General features: G+C 39.8%; 2 protein-coding genes and 1 long non-coding RNA gene across 14 annotated transcripts in view, besides 1 other annotated feature; 2 read left to right on the top strand and 1 right to left on the bottom strand.

Moving 5' to 3' along the window:
- The window catches only part of CMSS1 (cms1 ribosomal small subunit homolog), a 363,871-nt gene that overhangs the window by 9,427 nt on the left and 329,881 nt on the right, over positions 1 to 24,563 (top strand). The window lies entirely within an intron of this gene.
- Positions 1 to 24,563, top strand: part of LOC105374010 (uncharacterized) — a 223,532-nt gene that overhangs the window by 9,427 nt on the left and 189,542 nt on the right. The window lies entirely within an intron of this gene.
- Positions 1,523 to 24,563, bottom strand: part of FILIP1L (filamin A interacting protein 1 like) — a 285,691-nt gene continuing 262,650 nt past the window's right edge. For 5 of the 12 annotated variants that reach the window (NM_001042459.3, NM_014890.4, XM_011512371.3 and 2 more), the window contains one exon: positions 20,435 to 23,782. In NM_001042459.3, coding sequence (NP_001035924.1) covers positions 20,986 to 23,782 — 2,797 coding nt within the window. In that variant the 3' untranslated portion in view covers positions 20,435 to 20,985. Of the gene's footprint in view, positions 3,318 to 5,855; positions 5,974 to 20,434; positions 23,783 to 24,563 lie in introns of those variants that run through there. The other 7 variants (NM_001387850.1, NM_001387851.1, NM_182909.4 and 4 more) reach the window with 4 other exon arrangements.
- Positions 16,207 to 16,708: an enhancer, noted in NCBI's record as "H3K27ac hESC enhancer chr3:99562339-99562840 (GRCh37/hg19 assembly coordinates)". NCBI's record gives its function as "activates a minimal SCP1, AML or CMV promoter by ChIP-STARR-seq in naive H9 embryonic stem cells {active_cell/tissue: H9 hESC(naive)}" and the evidence as "EXISTENCE:reporter gene assay evidence [ECO:0000049][PMID:30033119]".

Genomic DNA, 24,563 nt, shown 5'->3' on the forward strand with positions numbered 1-24,563 from the left:
TCAAGCGATTCTCGTGCCTCAGCCTCCTGAGTAGCTGGGATTACAGCCATGCACCACCAAGCCCAGCTAATTTTTGTGTTTTTAATAGAGATGGAATTTCGCCATGTTGACCAGACTGGCCTCAAACTCCTGGCCTCATGTGATCTGCCCGCCTTGGCCTCCCAAAGTGCTGGGATTACAGGTGTGAGTCACCGCACCCGGCAAATGTAACTTTACTTTGAAGACTTTTGTCTTAATGGGATTAGAACTGCATTACCATTTAAAGATGAGTTTCTGCTGGTTCCCATAGAAGTGTCAACATTTTTCTACGCAAATTTTTTCTTTTTTTAATTTGAGACGGAGTTTTGCTCTTACTGCCCAGGCTGGAGTGCAATGGCGCAATCTCGGCTCACTGCAACCTCCGCCTCCCAGGTTCAAGCAGATTCTTCTGCCTCAGCCTCCGGAGTAGCTGGGATTACAGGCATGCGCCACCATGCCCGGCTAATTTTGCATTTTTAGTAGAGACGAGGTTTCTCCACGTTGGTGAAGCTGGTCTCGAACTCCCAACCTCAGGTGATCCACCGCCTCGGACTCCCAAAGTGCTGGGATTACAGGCGTGAGCCACCGTGCCTGGCTTCTACCTAAATTTTTTAGTACTTTGTATACTATCTTGTCCCTCTTTTTGTGCTTCCTCTTAAACTTATGCTAGCTTGGATAAAAATGTACTTTAGGAAGTCTCCTGACATGGGAGAAAACAATTTTGAAAGCTTCAACATACAACGTATTTTGTGCTTCATTTCAGAGTAAAATTTTTCCCAAGGTATTTTGTTTTTCTGGGACTATTGTTAGTGCATGTTGTTTTTCCTGTTTTATGCTTCTTTTCAACCTGTTTGGTTTTCACTAAGGGATTCCAATGGGTTTTTTTTCTATTAGCATAATTACCAATGTTGAATGTCACCTGGGCATAACTACTTTTCCTAACCCTGTCATACCATTGCTATCTCTTAGCATGTTTTCTCAAGTGAGAAAATGTCTTGACTGAATGGCCTTCTCTTCTTCATTTACTCATTCTCTATTCACTCTAGATTTATCAAATACCTGCTCTATGTGAGGCACAATACTAAGCACTCTGTACATACGTGTATTTTTTTTTTTTTGATGTTAGAGCTTCATCACTGCACCCTTTTTTTTTTTTTTCCCCACAAACAAGGTCTTGCTCTGTCAGTCAGTCTGGAGTGCAGTGGTGTGATCATGCTCACTGCAGCCTCGGACTTCTGGGCTCAAACAGTCCTCTTGCCTCTTCCTCCTAATTAGCTAGGACTACAGGTGTGCACCACCACACCTGGCTTTTTTTTTTTTTTTTCTTTTCGGAGAGACAAGGTCTTGCCAAGTTGCCCAGACTGGTCTTGAGCTCCTGGCCTCAAGAAATCCTCTCACCTCAGCCTCCCAAAGTGCTGGGGTTACTGGCGTGAGCCACCATGCCCAGTCTTCACCTTCTTTTGTAGTCCATCCCCTTCTACTATTCTCTTCCTGCTTTCCTTTCACTTCGACTTTTCCATTTCAGGCTTTTAATTCACTTGACCTCCCCCTACTGCCCTCTGCCACTTGCCTGCTGGGACTGCTGCCCATCATCCCTCTCAATGCTGCCTATCATCCCTCTCAATGCTGCCCATCATCCCTCTCAATGCTGCCCATCATCCCTTTCAATGCTGCCCAGGCCTCTAGCTCCTTCTCCTCCTTGAAATTGCAGGGGCCTGGGGGTGTTTGTACAGTGGCATTAGTGCAATGAGGTGGACTTAGTTAGATAAGTATGGGGAATGGGAGTTCCTTTACTCTTGCTCTGCTGGCTCCAACCCAGGGCAGCTGGCTAAAGCAGTCCTTAACCATGAGGATTTCTTCCAGGGTCATGCTTCCAGTTTTTAGTGAAGGATCACAAAAAATGTTTAGTGTCGTTCCATTGATTTTTTTCCCCCCTCGATTGAAGCTTTTTGAAATGTTTTTTGAACTGCCTTTTGTGTCAAACATGCCTTGTCTTAAAATGTCCTGTATTACTCTGTCCACACTGAATTACAGGCACACCTTTCTCTCAATTCAATGAGAGAGTTTTCAGTGTGATGTAAAGAATTGCTTTAGCTTTCTGCCAGGGGACTGTGTCTACCCTTATAGATGACTGTTTGAATTCAACATTTTGTATTAATAGTTGGGCATATTCATAGGTTATCAGAACTGGAAGGGACCTGAGGAATTATTTCACTTTCCTGTTTTACATGTGGAAACTCAAGGCTTAGATTGATGAATGCAAAGCTCGTTGTCACATGAATGAAAATCTAGGATTGGAATTTGAGTCTCCTAACCCCAAGCTTTTGTTGAATCAACTGATTTTCGATAGTGTTTATTCAGAGAAGAGATATGAATAAACAATGTCCTGTGAGATGATAAATTCTGTATTTTTTCAAGCACCTGGAATATTGATTCATGTCTCCCTAAAATATCTCAATGTTACTGAGACTAAGTGCCAGTGGTCAGGTATGCTTACTACACCAGTGATTGTCAGGTATTCTGCACAAAGGATATATTCGGCTGTTATTCACTTTTGTTATGCTTTTCCTCCTTTAAGAATTATCACTTTGCTTTTTCCCTCCTGGTCATAAAGAAATCATAGTTTTAGACCTTAAAGTGTGATTTTAATTGTCCTGTCATCTTGATGGAAATAATCTGATTTTCTTGACTCAGATTAGGAATTTTTGCTATCACCTTTTCTTAGCAAAATATGATTAATCAGCAAAGTTCTGTAGAATGAAGAATTACTTCTGTTTTCACCAGAAAACTCTTGAACTGTTCTAGTGAATTCAGTCCTATCCCAGGCTGATTCTAGATAGTTCATCTTTGGGTTAGATTATATGTCGGATGAGGAAATGGGTAGATTTGGGTGTGGGTCTAGGCCTGCGAGTGTTTGTGTGTGCATATACACATATAGAAGTAAAATAATTGTAGACGTGCTGCTTTTTGGGGGATGATCTTCATCAGGTCCACAAAGCTGCTTCACCATTTCCTGGAGAGATGGTCCTTTGGCCTTTCATAGTGGTAATTTTAGCTTTCCACATATTTCTGTAGATGAATGTATCCAGGCAGTGCATTGGTATGAGTTACCTTCTCCCTCCCACGTGGAGGAAGGTGTTGGAGGTGACAGTTCTCACGATGTGTAGCTTCCCACAGCCATTTTGGTAAATAGGCTTATCCATAGGCACTGTGGGGGCTTTAGTGGAAATCTTGGTGATGCCTGTAGATTTCGGTTTAGGGATCCGTGCTGGGATTCTCTGCTTGCATACCTCCTTGATCTTGAATTAAACAAGAGAACAAAAGGTAATTAATGGTACAGTTGGTGGAGAAGTAGAAATTGTTTAGGACATGGAGTCAGTTTGGAGGATTTGGCTTTGAAAGCACCAGTTTCTGGGGATGTATCAGATCAAAGATCGTCAGGTTGAAGAAAAGAATGTCAGTAAAGTAATCTGGTGTGTGTTGAATGTGTGCTGTGTGCACAGTTCTTGATAGAGATAGTGGTAGATACAGAGATGAATAGATATTTGGCAATCACGGTGTAGTAGGACATATACAAGAGTAGTGTCCCAAATTAATCTCAAAGAGCCATGAGATTGCCAGAGAAAGGTTAATTTCGAATGAGATTGTCTTTAAGAGTGCTTCATGAAGAATATGGCATTTGACTTGGGCCTTCAGACTTTTAAAAGTTTTCACAGTATGAGTGAGATGGGCAGCTCCAATGATGATTAGTGGAACAGCTTGGTAGTATGTATCAAGAGCCTTATGAATCTTTTCTAGGATGTAGAGAGGCAGTCAAGGATATTTGATTTTAGCATTGTTTATAATGATGAAAAATGGACAGTTAAATGAATAGGATGTGTTAAATGAATTATAGTATAATTATGACAACATGCTTTGTTAATGAGGCCAAAGCTTCAGGAAAACGTTTACTTAGATATGTTAAAAGTAGAATTTAAAACTGTGTACATGCTTTAATTATTTACATGTGAAGAGAAAAATACTAAAAGAAAATGCACCCATGCTATTGGTTGTTAACCCTGATTAGTGGACTTACAGGTACTTTTGATTTTTCTTACATTTTCTGTGTTCTCCACATATTTTATAGTAAGTATGCTATGAGAAAAAGGAACACTAAATTGTTTTAAAAGACGAAAAAGGAAGGAAACAACTTGGAGATCAGGACATTTCTGTGAACAACCATATTATCCAAGCCATGAGCAGTAGAAGCTGCAGTTGAAGTCAGTGACAGACTAATCAAGTCTGCTAATATTGTGACTATAGCATTAATAATAGCCTTCCCAAGATGGATTTCTGTGATGTCCTGTAACTTTATCAAGATTTAGATTGGGTCTCCAATTTAGTGTTCAAAAATCTATGTTGGGATCGTCTTTAAATTGTAGATTTCTGAATCTTACTCCTATGCATTGTAATTCATTGGTTTGTGGATATGTCCAGCAATTCACATTTTTAATAAACTCTCAGAGTGATTTCTTCAACTCAGGTGGTTGGCCTACCACACTTGGAAAAGTGCTGCCATAATTGAACTTCCTTTAGATGTAAGCTTTATTTTTTCTTCACCTGGAACTCTAGCCTACCTGGGTATGCATAGTTCAATACTGTGAAAGGCCGAGACAGATTGGTATGACACACAGTATTGGTGGAGCTCGTTTCTTTTGAGCAACACTGATACGTGTTGGTGAAGAAAATGTGGCTTGGAATGGTGGTCACTGATACTTTCAGGCCCAGCTGCCTGAAGGTTACTGGGCTCCTACTTGTTTCTACACCATTGATGTGCAAGCTTTTGTTTTCTAGGTAACTCCATTTTCATTACGTAGTTTTTACCTCTAGATGGCAGCAAAGGCTTGTTATTTTATCAGAACAACCCCAATTGTCATTCCTAAATCTTTTTTTTTTTTTTTTTGAGACGGAGTCTCGCTGTATCACCCAGACTGGAGTGCAGTGGCGCGATATCGGCTCACTGCAAGCTCCGCCTCCCGGGCTCCCGCCATTCTCCTGCCTCAGCCTCCCCAGTAGCTGGGACCACAGGCGACCGCCACCACGCCCGGCTAATTTTTTGTATTTTTAGTAGAGACGGGGTTTCACTGTGTTAGCCAGGATGATCTCGATCTCCTGACCTCATGATCCGCCCGCCTTGGCCTCCCAAAGTGCTGGGATTACAGGTGTGAGCCACTGCGCCCAGCCATTCCCAAATCTTTAAAAAAAAAAAAAAAAAGGCCTAGCGCAGTGGCTCATACCTGTAATCCCAGCACTTTGCGAGGCTGAGGCGGGCGGATCACTTGAGGTCAGGAGTTCGAGACCAGCCTGGCCAACACGGTGAAACCCTGTCTCTACTGAAAATACAAAACAGCCGGGCGTCGTGGCGCACTCCTGTAATCCCAGCTACTTGGAGGCTAAGGCAGGAGAATCGCTTGAACCCACGAGGCGGAGGTTGCAGTGAGCCGAGATCATAGCATTGCACTCCAGCCTGGGCCACAGAGCAAGACTCTGTCTCAAAAAAAAAAAAAAAAAAGTTGTTTTTTTTTTTTTTCTTGTATGACTTATCCTTGGACATGTTTCAGTAAATGAGGTATGGAGCATTAAAATGTGTCATCTCTTGGATCATTTTTATAGAGCGTTATGTCAAATAGCTCCAAGAAAGTTTTGTCCAAATTTGGAATGCATATTGCAAGAGAAATACATGCATATGGCTCTTTTAAGACCACACAGTGAATGTTCTACTCAGAGTTGGAGGCTCCTGGGTTTCATCAAAGAGCAGATGTCTTGGAGGAGATTAAGCAAGTTGGAAAGCTCATTCATAGAAGAAAACGATTTTTTAATAAATGCTTAACCCAGTTCAACATGAAGACTGGGATTTGGAATGCCTTAAAAGTCTGAAGGATGTTGAGTTCAATGAGGCAGAAGAAGTGGTTCCACCTAGGGAGCAGTAGAAAGAAGAGGAGTAAATTTGTGGAATATATTAAATTCTAAAAGTGTTGGTTTGTTTTATCCATAGATTCTCAAAAGAAACCTAGCAATCTAGAAGACTCCCTGGTTACAGTGAGTTATTAGAAGGCATTGAGTCATAATGAGCAAAAGAAGTATGGAAAGGTGAAGTGTTTTCAGTTGTATTCAAAGTCTCAGTTCTATAGCCCAATTTCTACATGACTCTTTTGTTCTTCCACTTTATCATGGAGCACAAATATACCAGAACAAAATCAGCATTTATGGAGAAACTATCAGATCTCAGACAGCTGGAGTCAGGATGTTTCCTTTTCTCTAAAGGAAATTAATTTTGTAAGTGCTTTGAACTTTTTGATCTGTATTGACAACGTGTTGTGTAAGAAAGCAGTGTTTTCTCAGGAGCGGTCCTGACTCCAGGGACTGCATCACACCTTAGCTCTAGAGGTTGAGAAGTTGAAGACTCCCAGAGACCTCTGGTCATTTTGATATGTGGTAATTGAGGTGGTGTGGGACGGTGGTTGGATTCAGGGCTGCTCACTCCCTTGGGGACTTAGCTGTGGAATGCTTGGCCAAGGCCATGTGTTATCAGAATTGACAGTGTTTTTGTAGTTTTGTTTTTATCTCAGTGTTTAATGGGAAAGTATATAAGCAATGATGATGGATATGGTGATGAAAAGAAGGAAATGCTAAACTGAAGAAAAATATATTTGAAATATTATTGCCTTCTTTTCTTTTGTCTTTTATATTGTTTGACAAATCACTGCTAATTTATGGGGAGTGGTGGAATGGAAATAAGAGATAATGAATCTGGCAGCTAGCCCAAAATTTCATAATGATGCTTTGGCTTTTTTCTCTTGATTTTTCTCAGAGCTCCCCTATTAAACAATGAAACTTTATCACTACAAGTTTTACGCTTTATACAGGAAAGGGTCTTTCAAAGGAAAGCTGTTTGATTTTATTAGCTCATTCTCATTAACCTCCTATGAGAGATCATTTGGTTTTGAATAGTGTTCTACTTCTATGGCTTATATTAAAGAGTTGTCCAATATCTGATGCAAAGGTTAGAGTAAATAGGTGCCTTTATTCTGTAATGTATCATGGTTTGTGGTTGTACCTAGTCACCTCTCAATCTCTCTTTCTGTGGAAATTATACAGTCAGCAGTGGGGGCAATCCAAGAATAAACATTGAAATAAAGTTTTCAAAATCGCTCCAAACCCAGTTGCCCCCACTTTGTGTCAGACCAAGCATCAGATGTAGCAATACTTTGTTAAAATAAAATATACTAACCTTAAATACTTGTCTTCCTCATTTGTTCTCTTTTTATCCATCTGTGAACTTTTTTCCTTTTACTCAGCTTTTCTTTTTTTGTACCCTTTCCTCCCTCCCCTCTCCTGTGTCTTTCTCATTTCTTCATTTGCACCCACTTAATTGTTTTAGTCATTCTCAGGCTTACATCTTATAACAGCCTTTGGGTAGTATCTAGAGCACAAGCCGTGGAGCCAGTCTTGGGTCTTCATTCTAGTTTTGGCACTAACTAGCTGTGTCTCTTTGAGCAAACACTTTACCCATGTAAACCTCAGTTTCCTCTTTTGTAATCTTCATCTGGGGATTGAAATACCTACTTGTAAGTTTTCTTTGGGGAGTAGAGATATTGTGTAATAAAGTCCCTGGCCCATCTAAAGTTTCGGGTGTTAGGTGTTCCTGTTGTGATCATCATCAGCATCATCTTTGTCTTTTTCCTTATATCACTTCTTAAGATGCCTATTTCTTGGTCATAATCCTAACTTCTTTGATTGTTTTACCTTTCTTGTTTTCCTGCTTTATCTCTCAACTTTCCTCTCTCTCCAATTATTTATAGGCAATATGTTGCTAAGGGTGGGAGTTAAGGCAGCTGAATAAGCAGCACTGATTCCTGGGCTATACTTCTAATCACCTTTGACCCAGAAAAGGCCCACTCACATGTCCTTTATCCTCCTTATGCTACTTTGTCTGGTCCTTGTGAATCTTTCTTTTTTAGAGTTCACCCAGAGACATTATCTGTTCTTTCCTGTTTTCATGTCTTTTGTTTGAAAAATGCAGTAGTTCTTTTAGATCACCTGTAAAGTCCTTTGGCTTTGACATTCTGTGATTCTGTGAAAAGGACAAATGCAGGCCAGCTATGGCTACCAGGTGCCTTTATTAGCCATATGAGCTTTTGTTGAGCACCTACTATGAGCACTATTTAAGTCCTGGGTAGAATAGGACCATGGTTCTTAAATTTTATATGCCCAGAGAGCCTGTTAGGATGCAGAATCCCTGCAGTGGGAATTAATAGGTCTGGGAATGTGAAACTCTGCAAAGTCATATGTGATTCTGATGAAGGTGGTCAATGACTGCATTTTAAGAAACATTGATATAAGGAGTTCAAAAATAAATGATAGCTGATTCTTGCTTTTGAGATGATAGCATAGGAGGGGTAACAAATAATTATGAGGTAGAATGACGTGCAATAATAGAATTACAGACAGCAGTTTTGGAAACTCAGTGGAAAACTAAAAAGTAAGGAAGGTTTTCCAGAGGAAGTGACACATGAGGGATGAGTAGGATTTTAGTATGAGGAACAAAGGAAGAAGAGTATTTCAGCCCTACAAACAGCATGATCAAAGGTAAGAAGGCCCAGTAGTATGTGGGAGGATAGTTAGTATGGTGTCCTGGTGAAGATGTGAGGGTATGTCCAGAGTTTCAAAGGGAGATGAAACGAAAGATGAAGGCCATGGTAGAAGGTTTGGACTTTGGGCACTAAGCAATTTTAAGTGCTGTTTTCTGGGAGGCTGGAGAATTGCTGTGATCAGAATGGTATTTAAGGCTGGATTATAGAGGTGAGGATTTAAGTGTAGTAGATTAACTATCTTACAGTACCATCTGTCCTAAATTCTGGGCTTGGGGAGTAGTAGTACAAATAAGTGGGGAGGACAGAGAAAGAAATAATATGACAGAGTGGAGGATGAGCAGAGAAGTGGAGAATAGTTCCCAGATGTTGAACCTGAGCAGTGGGGAAGGTGATGGACCATCAATAGAGGCGAGACAAAGAGCAGTTCAAGAAAGATAGTATATTGGGTTATGGGCGCATGCTAAGTTTGAAGTGTATAGTTGGGCCTTCCATGTGGAACTGTTTGGTAGAGTTGAAATTTTGGAGATGTTGCTTTGAGGATCGTGGTAGAGAAATTGTTGATACTACTCAAGTGCCTGAGACAGCCAGAGAGAAAAATGTAATTCCCACTCAACTGCCGCTCTTTTCTTCTCCCACCATAGGTACTTCTACATCCCTTTCCCAGAGCCTGAGATGAATTTTGTGGGACCCTACCATGTGCCCACATCCTCTGCACAAGGCCACTCTATCTTAATGATAAGAATATAACTAGTTCTGAGAACAGCCACCTAAGGAGGCATTTATTCCCATTACTTGAACAGTACATAGTGATTGAACCACTATCCAGGGAGTGATTGGCTTGCTAGGGGAAAGGAAATCCTGCACCTCTCTTCCAGTAACCTGGCTGGCCCCTCAGCCATTGTGTCTGAACCAATCAGACAAATTACATAAACTTGTACTCGCAGAAAGGTTTGCCACTTTGTGGCACAGAGCCATGCAGTAAGGACAGGATAGCCTCCCTAAAGCGTATTTCCTTCCTTATTGGCAGTCTGAGAAAAACCTGGAATAGGACCATATTTGATAGGTTTGGCCTAAAAAAATAGTAATAATCGTCCATTGTTCTCCCTAGTCTTCTCATTGTCCTTAGAAGCTATAATCAGCAGCCTCAGAAGCATTTATATTTTTCAGTTTCTGTAATTAATACATACTCTTATAATCAGGAAATTTCATATGAAATAAATGGGCTGCTTATATAAATTACTATGAGAGCTGTTCTTCTCAGCATGATCCGTACTCACTGATTCCCTCCCTGTTGCCCTAAAGGAATAACTATCTGCCTCTTGTGTTATGGAACTTTTGAGGACCTCTTGCAGTTTTTAGTTAGCTCCTGTTTATATAAAACAGTGGTTTTCTGAGGCTTCAAAAGTGACTGATCTCAGGCACAGTGAATTCAGGCAAGAACACCATGAAAAGGCATAAGAATAGAAGAAGAATAGCTTTTTCTAGTTAAAGAGAAGAGAGAAAAAAAAAAAACAGCCAAACCACTAATTGTAAAGGATAATAATGCATTTTTGAGGAATTACTTTGAGTTGTTTGAAGAGTGTCTGTGTTGATGCAGATTATTGTATTGTGAGGGGAGACATAGGAGCCAACTTGACAACTTTCCTTTGCAGTGGCAGTTTTTACTTGGGATGCTTCCTTGGTTTACAGTTTTGTACTCCTGAATTTGGAGACTGACAGGGTTGAACCCCAACACTTCTCCTTCTGACCTGGGAAGATACATAGTGATTATTTCTAAAAAATGATTTTGGGAGTGCCAGTCTTATTAAGTTACAGTGTTCCTTGAGAAATAGAAATCCAGATTTAGAGTGTACCATCTGGGAAAATTTTCTGTTTCTGCAAAGGCAGAATCACACCAAATGTGGCCTAAGTTGGTGGTGCTTGTCTTTATAGTGGCTGGACCTTGATCCCTTGATTGCCTTTTCTGAAAGTCTTGGGTCATTATCATAACTGTCAAGGCAGCCACCTACTTATAAGCTCAGATGTGCATGGTTGTGATGTTCCTTCCGTGAATCATTTTCACTCACTTCTGATGCTTTTCTATCCCATCATCTCTGAGGCTAATCAGGTACCTCCTGCTCTGCACATATTGATTGCCTGTCCAAGCTCATTCTTCATGCTTGGCATTTGTGCCCTTTGCTTATAGAATCTTACCTTAGGATAAAGTGGACACTGACTGCACCTTTTGTGTTCTGAGAACAGTCTCCTAATGAGAACATGAGCTTCTCTTTGGACTTGCTTTCTCACATCTCCTATCCCAGGTCAGTCTTCCCCGTGCCTGCCCATTTGTGTGGGGCTTGGCTTCTCACATTCATTATCTCTTGTCACCCTAACAGTGGCTTCAGGGAAGCAGGTGGAGTTGGAAGGAGAGGCAAATCACTCTTGGCTATGGTGATCATGGGAGGTTTCAGAAGAGGCGAGCATTGATACAGACCCTTCAGTGTGGGTCTTACTTCACTTGACAAGAGATGAAAATTGTGTCCATGTAGAGAAGTGGGGAGGAGAAAGCCCTGCATATGTTTAGGGACATTCTGAGTGTTCTGGCTGAAGTGGCAGATCTGTGAGGTGGAGCACAAGGAGGTAACATTAGACAATCTGTCTGTCACCACAGATTGTGGAAAGGATCAAATTCAACTTATAATGAATTTAAAACCCCTTGCAACTCAGTGTGTTGCCACGGAAAGAGAATGGGGCAACAGAATCAGACCTGTTTTCACTCCTCAGTTTTGTGACATACTAACAGAATGACCTGGAACAGCTTTCCTTATATGTCAGAGTTTTAATCTACTTATCCCTAAAGTTGTCATAATACCCACTTTCTAGGGTTGTTGTAAAATAAAATAATATTGTATAATGGATTTGTTTTTTGCCCTCTCTTTTATGTTACCTCACTATGCAGAAACCTTCTGTGAAGACACAGAGACTCCCTAGTGCTGTATTCATGGTTCTTCACAATCAACAGGTCTTTGCCCTTTAAGCCTTACCCTGCCCCAACCATCTCAACTTCATCCACATTGCACTGCTCACTGTTCCTTGAATGTTGATTATCTGCCCTCCTGCCTGCCCCCACACCTTTACCTTGTGGGCACCTCTTTGGAGCACCTTTCTTTTTTCTCTATATCCTAGTCTTCCCCATCCTGTATCCCCTGCTCAATTCTCATCTGTTTCTGAAGCCTGATCCCCAAATCCCACCTGAAAGTAACCTGCTCTTCCTCTAAAATCCTGTAGTACTTACTGTCTATATAGTTCCTTCTCTGTGTTGAGCTCTTAGTTACCTTTTAAGCTACCCCTTAACTCCCACCTTTTATTCCAAACTTTAACATCTGCATAGCTGCCTGGCACAATAATGAGCAATATTGCATGCTTCATAAATATTTGTTGGTTCATTCTTGTAGGTGATTGGTTGAGGAATGAAGGAAGCCTGTATCCTAATAGAAGACATTCATGCCTGTGGTGGTTATAAGCTAATAATACACAGGGAATTGCAGCTTCTCAGAGAGGACCTTTTAGAAAGGTCTAAACAGTAGAGAGTTATCTCTTCAATTCTTGGGATTCCTGCTGAAAACCAATTCCCTTCTCCCCCGACTCCATTTAAAGCCAAGGTGGTTGGTTTCTAGACTCTTATTTCTCCCAAGGGCACATGAAAAATGGAAAGCTCTAGTTGACCTGAAAATTCTAGTTTAGAATTCAGGTATCTTTGAAAGAGACAGAAGTATAAAATACTGTAATAATACAAATATAGATGTTCAAGTATGAACATGCTCTCAGCCAGTCTGTCAAGTAAGTGGAAACAATTATGCAACAAAACTCTTCAGTATAGGTTTTTAAAGTTGCTTTGAGGCTTATGTTTCATCAGATTCAAGGTTCTCATCTCTAGACACCAGACATAAGAGTTTTCATATGAGTTGTCAGATTTTTCCCACAGTGTTATATAAGAGTGGAACTCTTATAGAGTCACTTGGTCCATCTCTTTAATGTGGTGATTTTTAACCAGAGGGCGATTTTGCCCTTCAGGGAATATTTAGCCATGTCTGGAGATATTATTGTCACAGTTGGGGGATGCTACATGGTGTGTAAGTAGAAGCCAGGGATGCTCCTAAACATTATACAGTGCATGAACACCTCTTTCTTCCCCACAACAAAGAGTTACCAGGCCAAAACCATTAATAGTCCTAAAGTTGAAAGAATAATGGGGAGAAAAAGCTGATAGGATTAGGGGTAAAAGAAATTAATTCGTAGAATCTTTTTTTTTTTTTTTTTTTTTTGAGACAGCCTTGCTCTGTCGCCCAGGCTGGAGTGCAGTGGCGTGATCTCAGATCACTGCAACCTCTGCCTCCCGGGTTGAAGCGATTCTCCTGCCTCAGCCTCCCAAGTAGCTGGGATTACAGGTGCCCACCACCATGCCCGGCTAATTTTTGTATTTTTAGTAGAGATGGGATTTCACCATGTTGGCCAGGCTGGTCTTGAACTCCTGACCTCATGATCTGCCCGCTTTGGCCTCCCAAAGTGCTGGGATTACAGGCATGAGCTACCATGCCCAGCCAATTCATAGAATCTTAGAGAAGGAAACATCTAGTAGTTTTGACATCTGTAAGTGGAAAAATGAGGAAGAAGTTTAATTTCTGGAGGAAAGAAACTCATGCAGGTTGTTGGCTTATTTATGCTCCAACTTTATTTCCCAAAAGGAATTTTAAATGATTTAAGGAGGGTGGCAAGACTTCAAATTCAGAAGTCATTGGAAGTTAGAACCAGATGTGATCTTAAAGATCACCAAGTTCAATTCGCTTATTTCACAAAGGTTAAATGACTTGTCCAGGGCCTCACAGCTGACTAGAAAAGGCATAAACTAGAACCTGATCTATTTGCCTGCCTCCAGTGCTCCTTCCCCCAATCTTTTCACTTAACTGAGGCTTTGTTAATCTACTGTGGTCTTCCTTAATCTCCAGTTTATTGGTAGAGATTGACAGTTTCCCACTTGATTAAATGTTGTCTGATACTCTTGTTTCATTTCTTTGCCCAGGTTAATAAGCTCTTCAAGGGCAGTGAATCTTTCATCTCCATAATATCTGCCCCAGTGGCAAGTAAGAGGTACACAGTTTAATGTGTCATGATCAGTGGATTGATCGATTGTGTACATGTGATGCTTTGAAGAAAACATATTGCATACTAAGACACTGCGCATGTCACTGAGACACAAGTTTGGTTGCATAAGGATCGTTTCCACTCACTTGATTGACAGATTGGCCCAGAGTATATGTACATTTGAACAATTATATTTGTGTTAATACATTGTACCTTTGTTTCTTTCAAATATATCAAATTATAAACTAGAGTTTTCAGATAAACTGGAGCTTTCCATTTCTACTATGCCTGTGGCAGAAAAATAATGTAGATAACCAACCACCTTTGCCTTTTGCCGGAACAGCAGATAACTCCCTCTATTGTTTAGACCTTTCTAAAAGGTCCTCTCTCGGAAGTCTCAATTCCCTCTGTATTAGCTTGTAACCACCACAGGCATGAATATTCATTAGTAACCTCACCTCCACCTATCCAAAAGCCTCAGGAATGGCTGAGGACGAGGTAGGCTTTGTAGGTCTGTAGGGCTTATATTTGTATATTGTAGTTGTCCAAATATGGCTAGCCTTTAAAGAGCTGAACAAAACAGGCGCAATCCCATCATAAAAATGGGCTAAGGACATGAATAGACAATTCTCAAAAGAAGATATACAAATGGCAAACACACATATAAAAAAATGCTCAACATCACTAATTATCAGGGAAATGCAAATCAAAACCACAGTGCAATACCACCTTACTCCTGCAAGAATGGCCATAATCAAAAAAATTAAAAAATAATAGATGTTGGTGTGGATGTGGTGAAAGGGGAACACTTTTACACTGTTGGTGAGAATGTAAACTAGTACGAGCATGGAAAACAGTGTGGAGATTCCTTAAAGAACTAAAAGTAGATCTATCATTTGATCCAGCAGTCCCACTCCTGGGTATCTGCCCAGAGGAAAAGAAGTCATTATATGAAAAAGATACTTGCATATAAGTGTGTTTATGGCAGCACAATTCGCAATTGCAAAAATATGGAACCAGCTCAAATGTCCATCAGTCAATGAGCGGATAAAGAAAATGTGGTATATATACACCATGGAATACTACTCGGCCATGAAAAGGAATGAAATAATGGCATTCGTAGCAACCTGGATGGAATTGGAGACTATTGTTCTAAGTGAAGTAACTCAGGAATGGAAAACCAAACATTGTATGTTCTCACTCATAAGGAGGAGCTAAGCTATGAGGACACAGAGGCATAAGAATGATACAGTGCACTCTGGGGACTCAGGGGAAAGAGTGGGAGGGGTGTAAGGGATAAAAGACTACACATTGGGTACAGTGTACACTGCTCGAGTGATGGTTGCACCAGAATCTCAGAAGTCAGCACTAAAGAACTTATTCATGTAACCAAACACCACTTGTTCCCCAAAAACCTATTGAAATAAATAAATTAAAACAGGCCAAAAAAAAAAAAAAAAGATGGTCTCAGGTAACCCCTCAAATATCATACCAGGACCATTTGGCTATGAGGAGGAAGAAGAACTCACTAAAATAAGAAAACTAGTTTCAGTTTTTCAAAATATTGCCTCAAATAATAAGATAAGTTTTATTTCTCTTGATCAACAATTTTGACAATGAAATTTTAAATGATGCCACAAATAAAAGTGATTATCCCTGGAATGGCTGACTGCAATGCCAAAGGTTATTCCTGAATACATTTTTATGGTGGCATTCTAACTGTAAAACCTGGTACCTGATGGAATGTTGACAGATTTGTAAGTGCTCCCATGTAAATGGTGTTAATTCATTATCAAATTATGAAGTACTTAGAGGTGTTGGCCAGTTAACTCGCTAGACTCCCTCAAGATTCCTTACCCTACAGCATTGCCTTTGGGGGATGGCTGCTCTGATATATTGACTGCCCAAAAGCCTTACCCTTCTTGATGTACCTTGAGGAATGGAAAGGGTCCATCTGCTGGAAAGGAAAGGGCTTGAAGTTTAAGTAAAATGAATTTAAATGGGGTTTAAGGTTTGAGAACCTTAGTAAACTACTTGTCTTCCTTGCTCTTTCTTGTATTTGCTTCACTGTGCCATAAGTTGAATGGAGTCCTTTGTTTTGGTTCATCTAACTGCCTTATTTAATGTGTGTTCTGGACCCTTCCCAAGAAATGCTACAGATTTAAGTTGAGGGCCTGGGATTGAGAGAGAAACAGACCTTGTAGGTGTCAGACAGCCTACTTTAGCTCAGCCAAAGATTTAGGCATCTATGCTTTGCTACAGTTATAAAACCGGGAATCTTCCCACCCAATAAAATGGAAGTTTTTATTGAGCTTTCCTTTTAAATAAAAAGAAAACTTGGAGAATAAACCTTCTGTTTGTCATGCCAGCCACTAGAGGGTAGAATAGCCACATTTCCTACTACAGATGTAATTTAAAGAGAGGGACTATGGTCAGAATACATTTGCCAGTGCTTGTCAATACAGATGCTTTTTGACTTATGATGGGGTTAGAACCACATAAACCCACTGTGAGTTGAAAATATTAAAAGTTGAAAATATGTTTAATACACCTAACCTACTGAATATCATGGCTTTGCCTAGCCCACCTTAAACATGCTCAGAGAACACTTACATAAATCTACAATTGGGCAAAATTGTCTAGCAACACAGCACACTGTAGAGCAGGGGCCTCTAAACCCTGGGCCACGGACTGGTAGCAGTCCATGGCTTGTTAGGAGCCGAGCGGCAAGCAGAAGGTGAGTGGCAGGCAAGCGAGCATTACTGCCTGAGCTCTGCCTCCTGTCAGATCAGCAGTGGCATTAGATTCTCATAGGAGCACGAACCCTATTGTGAACTGCACATGCGAGGGGTCTAGGCTGAGCACTCTTTATGAGACTCTAGCTAATGCCTAATGATCTGAGTGGACAGTTTCATCCTGAAACCATCCCCCCAACCCCCCGCCCATGGAAAAATTGTCTTCCATGAAAACAGTCCCTTGTGCCAAATTGGGAACTGCTGCTGTACAGTATCGGTTGTTTACCCTCATGATTGTGTGGCTGACTGGGAGCTGTGGCTCACTGCCACTACCCAGCACTGGGAGAGAGTATCTTACAGCATATTGCTAGCCCAGAAAAAGATCAAAATTTGAAGTACCGTTTTAGGGCACAATTAACCAGCAGAAGAGTTTGTTAAAATGCAGCTTTCTGGGCCCTACGCCCCCAGAGGTTCTCATTGGATAGCTCTGAGTGGAACTTAATATCAGGGGATTCTCACACAGGTATCTTGGATTTTACTCTGAGATACGCTGATCTATAAGAGTTTTGGGGCATGCATTTTTGCCTATCTTTTCTCTTGGGATTACAAAGCAAAATGATTATTTGGAGGAAAAAAATCTTAATAACAGAAACCAGGGTATAGGAAAAAGCTAGAGTGTTGGTTAATTTAAAGGTCTTTCCCTGCCTTTGTCTAACATATTTCAAAGGAGACTCACTTTGTAAATATTCAGAATCAAAGAAGCTACTAAAACGTTTTTATTGGGAGTTTTACTTCAACCAGTAAAGACCATAGAATCCTTAGACTACAAATCTCTAAAATTTTTGATAAAATATCCCTTCTATGACCATCTCACAGCTCCCCTAATTTTATCCTTTATGGGTTATGTATGTGGTTTAGCTCTGTGTCCTCACCCAAATCTCCTAACTGAAATCCCCGTTTGGATCGTGGGGTGGTTTCCCCTGCTGTTCTTGTGATACTGAGGGAGTTCTCATGAGACCTGATGGTTTAAAAGTGGCAGTTTCCCCTGTGCACTCTCTCGCTCTCTTGCTGCCAGGTGAGATGTGCCTTAGCTTTTCTTTGCCTCCTGCCATGATTGTAAGTTTCCTGAGGCCTCCCCCAGCCATGAGGAATGGTGAGTCAATAAAACCTTTCTTCTTGATAAATTACCCAGTCTCAGGTATTCTTTATAGCAGTATAAAAATGGACTAATAAAACTGGTGTCATGAAGACCCCAAGCCTAATGTCTTAGCATTGTAAAATATAGTTGTGGAGACCTTACAAAGAGTGTATGTAATTTTATCATGATCTTGATTGAACAAGTATCAAGATTCTTTCTTATGTGTACAGATTCAAGTGTAGTAATGCACAATGTCCTTCTAGTAAGGATGACAATTTTATTTTTGTCAGTGCCCCTAGAGAGCAGTGGCATCCTCCTGGGGAAAGTTTTGCCATTGCTTTTAAATAGAAAAAACATGATAAAATCATTCGAATCTGTGATAGGATTCTACCTTTTAAAGAGTTAAAGAGATAGTGGGAATGTGAGTAAAATGAAACTTCGTTCTGAAGCGAGGACTTAGACCAATGAAAGAATGGTATGAGTTTTTCAGAGAGACGAAAAAACAGTCTATCTTCTGTGAGCCCTCATGGACCAAAGAATACAACCCTCCACCCCCACATATTTCATATGAAGATTTCTGAAGATTTTCCAGTGTCACTTCCTCTTTCCTTCCTGGTTTTTGGGGGAGTTCTATGATTATCTGTCAATGAAAAAGGAAGTTCTGTAATCTTCCAATCTCTTTCTCTCTCTCCTCTCTCACACGCACACAAAAAAATATAAGAAATCTTTTCAAAATTAAAGGCCAGAAATCTACATTGTGTCATTTTAGGTGTAATTCTATAGAAAAAAAGATGTTTTGCAGAAATTATGCTGCCTTTATGAACTTTAATTAGTAACACTTGTAATAATCTACACGTTATTAATCTGTCTCCTAAAATTTATTTTGATGCTGATACAAATTATTATACTGAAGGAATCCTCCCAGTAGAGGTACTTCTAAAAGAGGTATTCCTTGAAAGTTTGGTAAATTTCCAGTTATGTTAGATTAACTACTTAGGAAGCCTCTATATAGTTAAAATCTGGAACAAATGATTAAATGAGAATTTGTGCATTATCATAATAGAACACAAGACTTATGGTGTTAACTTTATTATAGAGAATTTCTGTAGCTCACATAAGAAATTGAATCCTTTCAAAATGGGTGGGCTGATGAATAGCCCAAATTTGGCTCCCAAACTCTATTAGTTACAAGTGTGCCAAGAATGGATTTCTTCCCTCCCCCCGTCCCCCACCAGCACTTGGGACAGCCAAGAGGAACCTGGGGTGATGGGAATCCCTTGGCTGGTTATCTCTGCCTCTTTATCTGTTTCCCCCAGTGCCACACAAGCATGTGTTTTGTTTATGCCATTATGTGACAAAGTTGGGAAGACTTTGTTCTTAAATTCTGATTTCCATTGTTCATAATTTTATGATCAGTTGATCGATGCCTTCCAAAATATTACATGTACCCACTCTCAGTAACTAGAAAAAGATCTCATGAAGCAGCAGCATTATCATTGTCTGTTTTGAAAGAGCTAAAATTAAGTTTGCCATTCCTTCTAGAGTTCTGGCCCAAGGTGACTTAAAAACAGTTTTAATAAACATTTAGACCATCATGTATTTTGTAATACAGTTGGGTCACTGTTGATTCCTAAGATAAATGTGTTTAAACAGAAGCTTTCTCATTCATCAGCAGCCTCAGCTTTCATCCAAATTTATTTAATGATGATGCAAGCCCATAGCGTTGGTGTTGCAGTTCGTCACCATGGAAGTGTTTCTGTCAACAAATCCTCGCTTTACTATCATGAAATTGATTTTGTAGGGGAAAGGAGGATAATTGTGAAAGCTTCCTTTTATTCTTAAAGATCTTCACAGTTTGCCTGGATGTCTAAATGAATTGTATTTAAAATCAATAACTGGCAATAAAATTAACCACACTAAATTAACAATTATGAGGTTAGAAAAAGGGAAATGGCAATAAGCTACTTTGTCTGAAATCGTCGTTTTGGAATGTGACTTGGGGACCATACTTGTAATTTAAATGTTCCCTGAAAGCTGTTGTTCTCTGCTCAGAAGTATGGATTATCCCCAGGGACTCCCATGAGGCAGATATCAGAATTTCTAGGAGGATTCGGCTGAGTTATTCTCATCTATATTGTAAATGGCATAATAATCACAGAAGAAATTCACACTATATTACTTCTTTCAACTAACATACTGTATTTTTTAAATATGCCTTTTCTATAGCTTATGTTCATAACTATCTTTGGCTTTTATTTGCTTGTTTAAAAAAAACTGTAAGAGGTTAAAACAAAAAAAAAAACTGTAAGCTTTTGAATGCAGGCCCCTTATGAACAGGGTAGGTAGCACCTACATTAAGTAATTCAAACTGTTTTGGGAACCCCATAGGAAAAAGAAACAAGAATGACATTTTCTTTTTTTTTTTTTGCTTTGAAGTAGAGTGTTCAAGAGTTTATGTCACAGTGGCTGGTTCCAGATTTGGTTGTAGACATACATGTTCTATGGGAGGTTTGATCTCTGGTAGAAATACAGTCAACTCTTGATTTGTCAATGTAACTATATTTCCAAATGTACTTTCTCTGGCTTCCTATCACATGTCAGAGCTTTTTAATTTTATCATCTGCTTCTATGTGCTCATGAAAACCAAAATTATTCGGTAGTATTTTATTTCATTATTATAAACATTTAAGTTCCTAATGTAGTCTAAGCACTGTGCTGGGCTCTTAGAGATACTGAAATATATCCCAAGCATGAAGTTATGTTTGCTTCTGAAAGATCTTATAGTTCACTTTGAAATCAAAGAGATGTAATTTTTATTTATTTGAACCACTTTTCTCTCCTCTAATATGTGATTAGAAGTTGACCATAAATGGGACATAGGTCCTGTTTGTTTTTAAGGAAGAATTAATAGAGACTATAAGCAAAAGACAAAATTCTATTGTACATGCAGAAATATAACACAGAATGACCAAAAGAAAATTCAGCAAGCAATGGTAAAAATAACAAATTATTTACTGTTTTATAATGTTAAAGTATTTCACCAAGACAAGTTGCAGTCAAATTAAAGTGAGTTATGGAAAATGAAATACATAAAGATGTATTTATACAAGTGCAGACTAAATATTTTCCATACAAGTATGTAAATGAAAAGATATACAGTAAGTGCACACTCGATATGACTATGCAGGCAACAGTTAGTTTCAGATACTCTTGTATAGTTCATGCACAAACCTTCCCAAAGTACGAGTTCAGTCAGTCTTGGGGGATATGGAGGGATGATTAAAAAAGGATTGAGTTCCTTGCAAAAATATCAGTATGGACTGGATGAGGGTGAGCGTGGTCAGTTATATATATTACTTACTGTAATTTGTGATTGTCGAGGAAGAGGTGTGGCTGTTGGTGTGATAGTAATACTGCTGGTGACTTTATTGGTTGTTTTGTTTAGTGCCCCGTTAATTAAGCCTTGAGTTCGGTTATCCTGCAGTGGTGCTGAAGGGCTGGCAGGTCTCACAGGGCTGGCTACAGCTTGCATGTAAGGACTTCCTAAGTGAATGTGGATTTTATTATCCTCAGTAGTTATCACACTTGAGCTATTGCTGTTTGAACGCTGAAACTGCCATGATGACTGCCGGTCTGGGGAGACTCTGAATATCGCATGCTTGGCACTGATTTCTGTTGGTTCTGGGGAGCGTCCCTGCTCAGGAGAGCTAGCTGAACCAGTCACAGCCAAAACCTGAATAGGGGACATTGTCCTTTCTGGAGTTAGAGAACCACAAGACTCTGGGGTCTGTGCTCTGGCAAAGGTTGCCATGGTAATTGGGGACATGCCTTGTTCTAAATTCATGAGGTCTTCGGTAGAGGTTTTGGACTTTACTGGTGTTATGGAGGCGTTTTGGAGGATGGTTATCCTTTGCTTTGGCGTGCCACAGTTCGGTATCACTGCAGTACTCGTGTAAGAGTGAGGACTCTCTGTGGTTGGACTTGTGATTTCAAGAGTGGCTGTGTTTTGTACATGGTCTGGAGTAACCTTTATATGAAGTGGCTGCCCAGGTGTGTGGCTTAGGACTAGATCTCCAGGTTGCACAAAGTTGGCATTGGGTTTAGTTTGCATTTTTCCATTCTGAAGATGGCCCTCCTTGGATTTCATCCAGGGAATCCATAGCTTTCTGTTAACAGGACATGGAGTAGACTGGCTGCATTTGAAGGACAGCACAGATCCCTCATCATTAGGGTCCTCGTCTTGATTCTCACTCTCCTCATATAACTGACCATTGATGACTGCACGTTCCAGAGGAATGAGGCTCTTGTAATCAGGTGGTTCATTGTCTACTGCTTCTGTCTGAACTTCTTTAGAAAATACTTGAGGATCGGAAATTCTTCTTCCATTGAGACTAGGCCTGAGGCTCTTACTGAAATGCCGGTACCTCTCTAACTCCTTAGTGAGGTTTTCAATCTCTCTTCCTAAATCTCTGTTCCTGTTTTCTTGTTGATTTAGTTTTTTTTGCAGGACTGAGTGATCTCCCTGGAGGTGACATATTAGGTCTTCAGTTGCCATGTATTCATGAATTTTCTCTTTTAATGCATCCACTTCTCTTGAGAGGTGCCCTGACTTAGCTTCTTCTTCTTGAAGCCTTTTGAAAAGCCATTGTTCATGGCTGGTCTCTGTCTTTTCTGCTAACTTGTACTTAGCAAGTTCCATTTTAACATGTTCTAGCTCTTTAGATAAAAATTGAGCTTTGTCTCGTTCATTAGCATACCTTCGTTCTAGAGTCTCATATTCATCTTCTGTTTTCATGAGGTCATCCTCAATGGCTTTCATGTCCTTTAGCTTCAGTTTCAGTCTTTCCACTTCTTGAGAGAGCTCCTTAATCTTATTGTTTTCTTGGTGTAATGCTGTTGTGGATTTCCCAGAGTCTTGATTTAATTTGTTTTTTAGGAAATCTTTCTCAATTGCTTCCAATGATTGAAGCCTATTTTTCAACATATTAACTCTTGACAGGAGATCATTTCCTTTCTCTTCTTCCGCTTTCAATTTGTTTTTTAAATCATCTCTCTCCTTGGTTACGCTGTACATCTTTTCTTCTACATCGGTTTTGGACTTGAGCGCCCTTTTAGTTTCCTCAATTAACTTCTCAGTAACTGTTGTTACTTTATTTTGCTCCACTTGAAGCTGAGAAGAAGCAGCTTGTAATTTATCTTCAGTTTTCTTTAATTTTTCACTCATTGTTTTCCGTTCATCTACAAACATCACAGTTAATGTTTTCAGTTTAGTTAAATCCTCTTTTAGAGTGAATTCTGTCTTTTCTAGCCGACTTTCAATGGCTTCTAGCTCTTTGATCCTTACTTTTAAACTCTCCAGTTCTTGAGACAACTGCTTTGTGGTCATCCTTTCTTTTTCTAAATTGCATTTCAGAGAGTAGCATTCTTGTTTGCTTTTGTTGAAAGCGTCTTCTAACTTTTCCAGAGCCATAATTCTTTTACTGAGTTTTTCAACCTCTAGTTTAAAGTCTTTACTCTGTAACGTCTCCCTTTCAAGCCTCTTATTGAGATCTCTGCACTGCTCCTCCATTTTTATGAGCTCTTCATCTTTCCCTTCCATATCTAGCACACGTTTCCTGAGCTCTTCCACTTCAGCCATGATACCAGCGTTTCCATATTCTCCCTTACTGATTTTTTCTTTTATATCTTGCAGCTCCTCTTCTGCTTTTCGTAAAGACCTGTTTGTCTCTTCTAACTCATCAATCTGCCGGCTGAGTGCTGCCAGCTTTTGTTGAAGCTGGCGATTTTGACTGTCCTCATTGGTGAGCTTCGCCATAATTGTGTCTTGGTCTTGGTGAAACTTTGTGGTCTGCGTTTGCAGTTCCTTCTCTAGTCTGGTTGCCTTCTGCTCTTCCTCCTGAACTCTGGCTTCAGCAAGGGCTAGTTTGGTATGTGTTTCCTTTGCATTTGTGGTCAGCTCTTGGATTTTCTGTCTTTGAAGGGTGAGCTGTGCCGTCAGCCTTTGCTGTTCATCCACCACCATCAAAGCAAAAGACTTCAGCTTGGTCAGCTCCTCTTTCAGGGTGGTGACCCTTTTCTCCTTTTCTTGCTCCTTCTCCTCCTGAGACTTGATTTCTTGATCAATTAGCTTCTTTAATCTGAAAAATGTAAAGTGCATTTTATTTTGTGATTGATGCTTTAGTAACTCATCGAATGTACTTAAATATATATGTAATTTAGAAATTATGTAATTATATGAGCTGTGTCAGTTCATATACAATATGCAAAAGAGTTCCTGAATTTGATGACAGAGGAAAATCTTGATAAAGTTATCTTGCTTTTTTATTTGACTACCATTGATCAGTAACAGCTGCATTTCACCAGGAGCCTTAGTAAAAGAGTAAGGGCAAGAATATTTAGTTTAAATTGCTTGGGTAACATGTAATTAGTAGGCAGTCTGGCCTGAAGGCTGTGAAAATAGCCACAAGCTTGAGATGATGCAGTTAGACCTGGCTTCAAGGCCGACCCTACTCTTACCAACTAATTGATCTGGGCAGTTATTTAACATCTCTGAGCCTCAATTTCCTCATATGAAAAATGGGGGCAATAATTTTATTTACTTCAGGGGCTTTTTATGAAAATTAAATGCGGTAATTCATCTAAGATTCTCATTGTCCTGGCACATGGTAAGCATTTGGTATTAGTTGTTGCTGCTGTCTTTATTAATATGGTTATTATATTTATCAAATGGCTTGCTTGAACCAAAGTGTTCAATTAATGTTTGATGTTCAAGTCCTTGATTCTTAGTTAAGAAAAAATTTAGTCACATTGCTTAGAAGTTATGCACTTCACTGATAGACCTCTGTGCCAATTAAAACTTGGTTTGCACTAGCACAACATTATTCTAGGAACTACTTCACATATATCTTATCCTCATAG

The sequence above is a fragment of the Homo sapiens genome, chromosome 3, assembly GCF_000001405.40.
Source record: "Homo sapiens chromosome 3, GRCh38.p14 Primary Assembly".
In the NCBI taxonomy this organism is placed as follows: domain Eukaryota; kingdom Metazoa; phylum Chordata; class Mammalia; order Primates; family Hominidae; genus Homo; species Homo sapiens.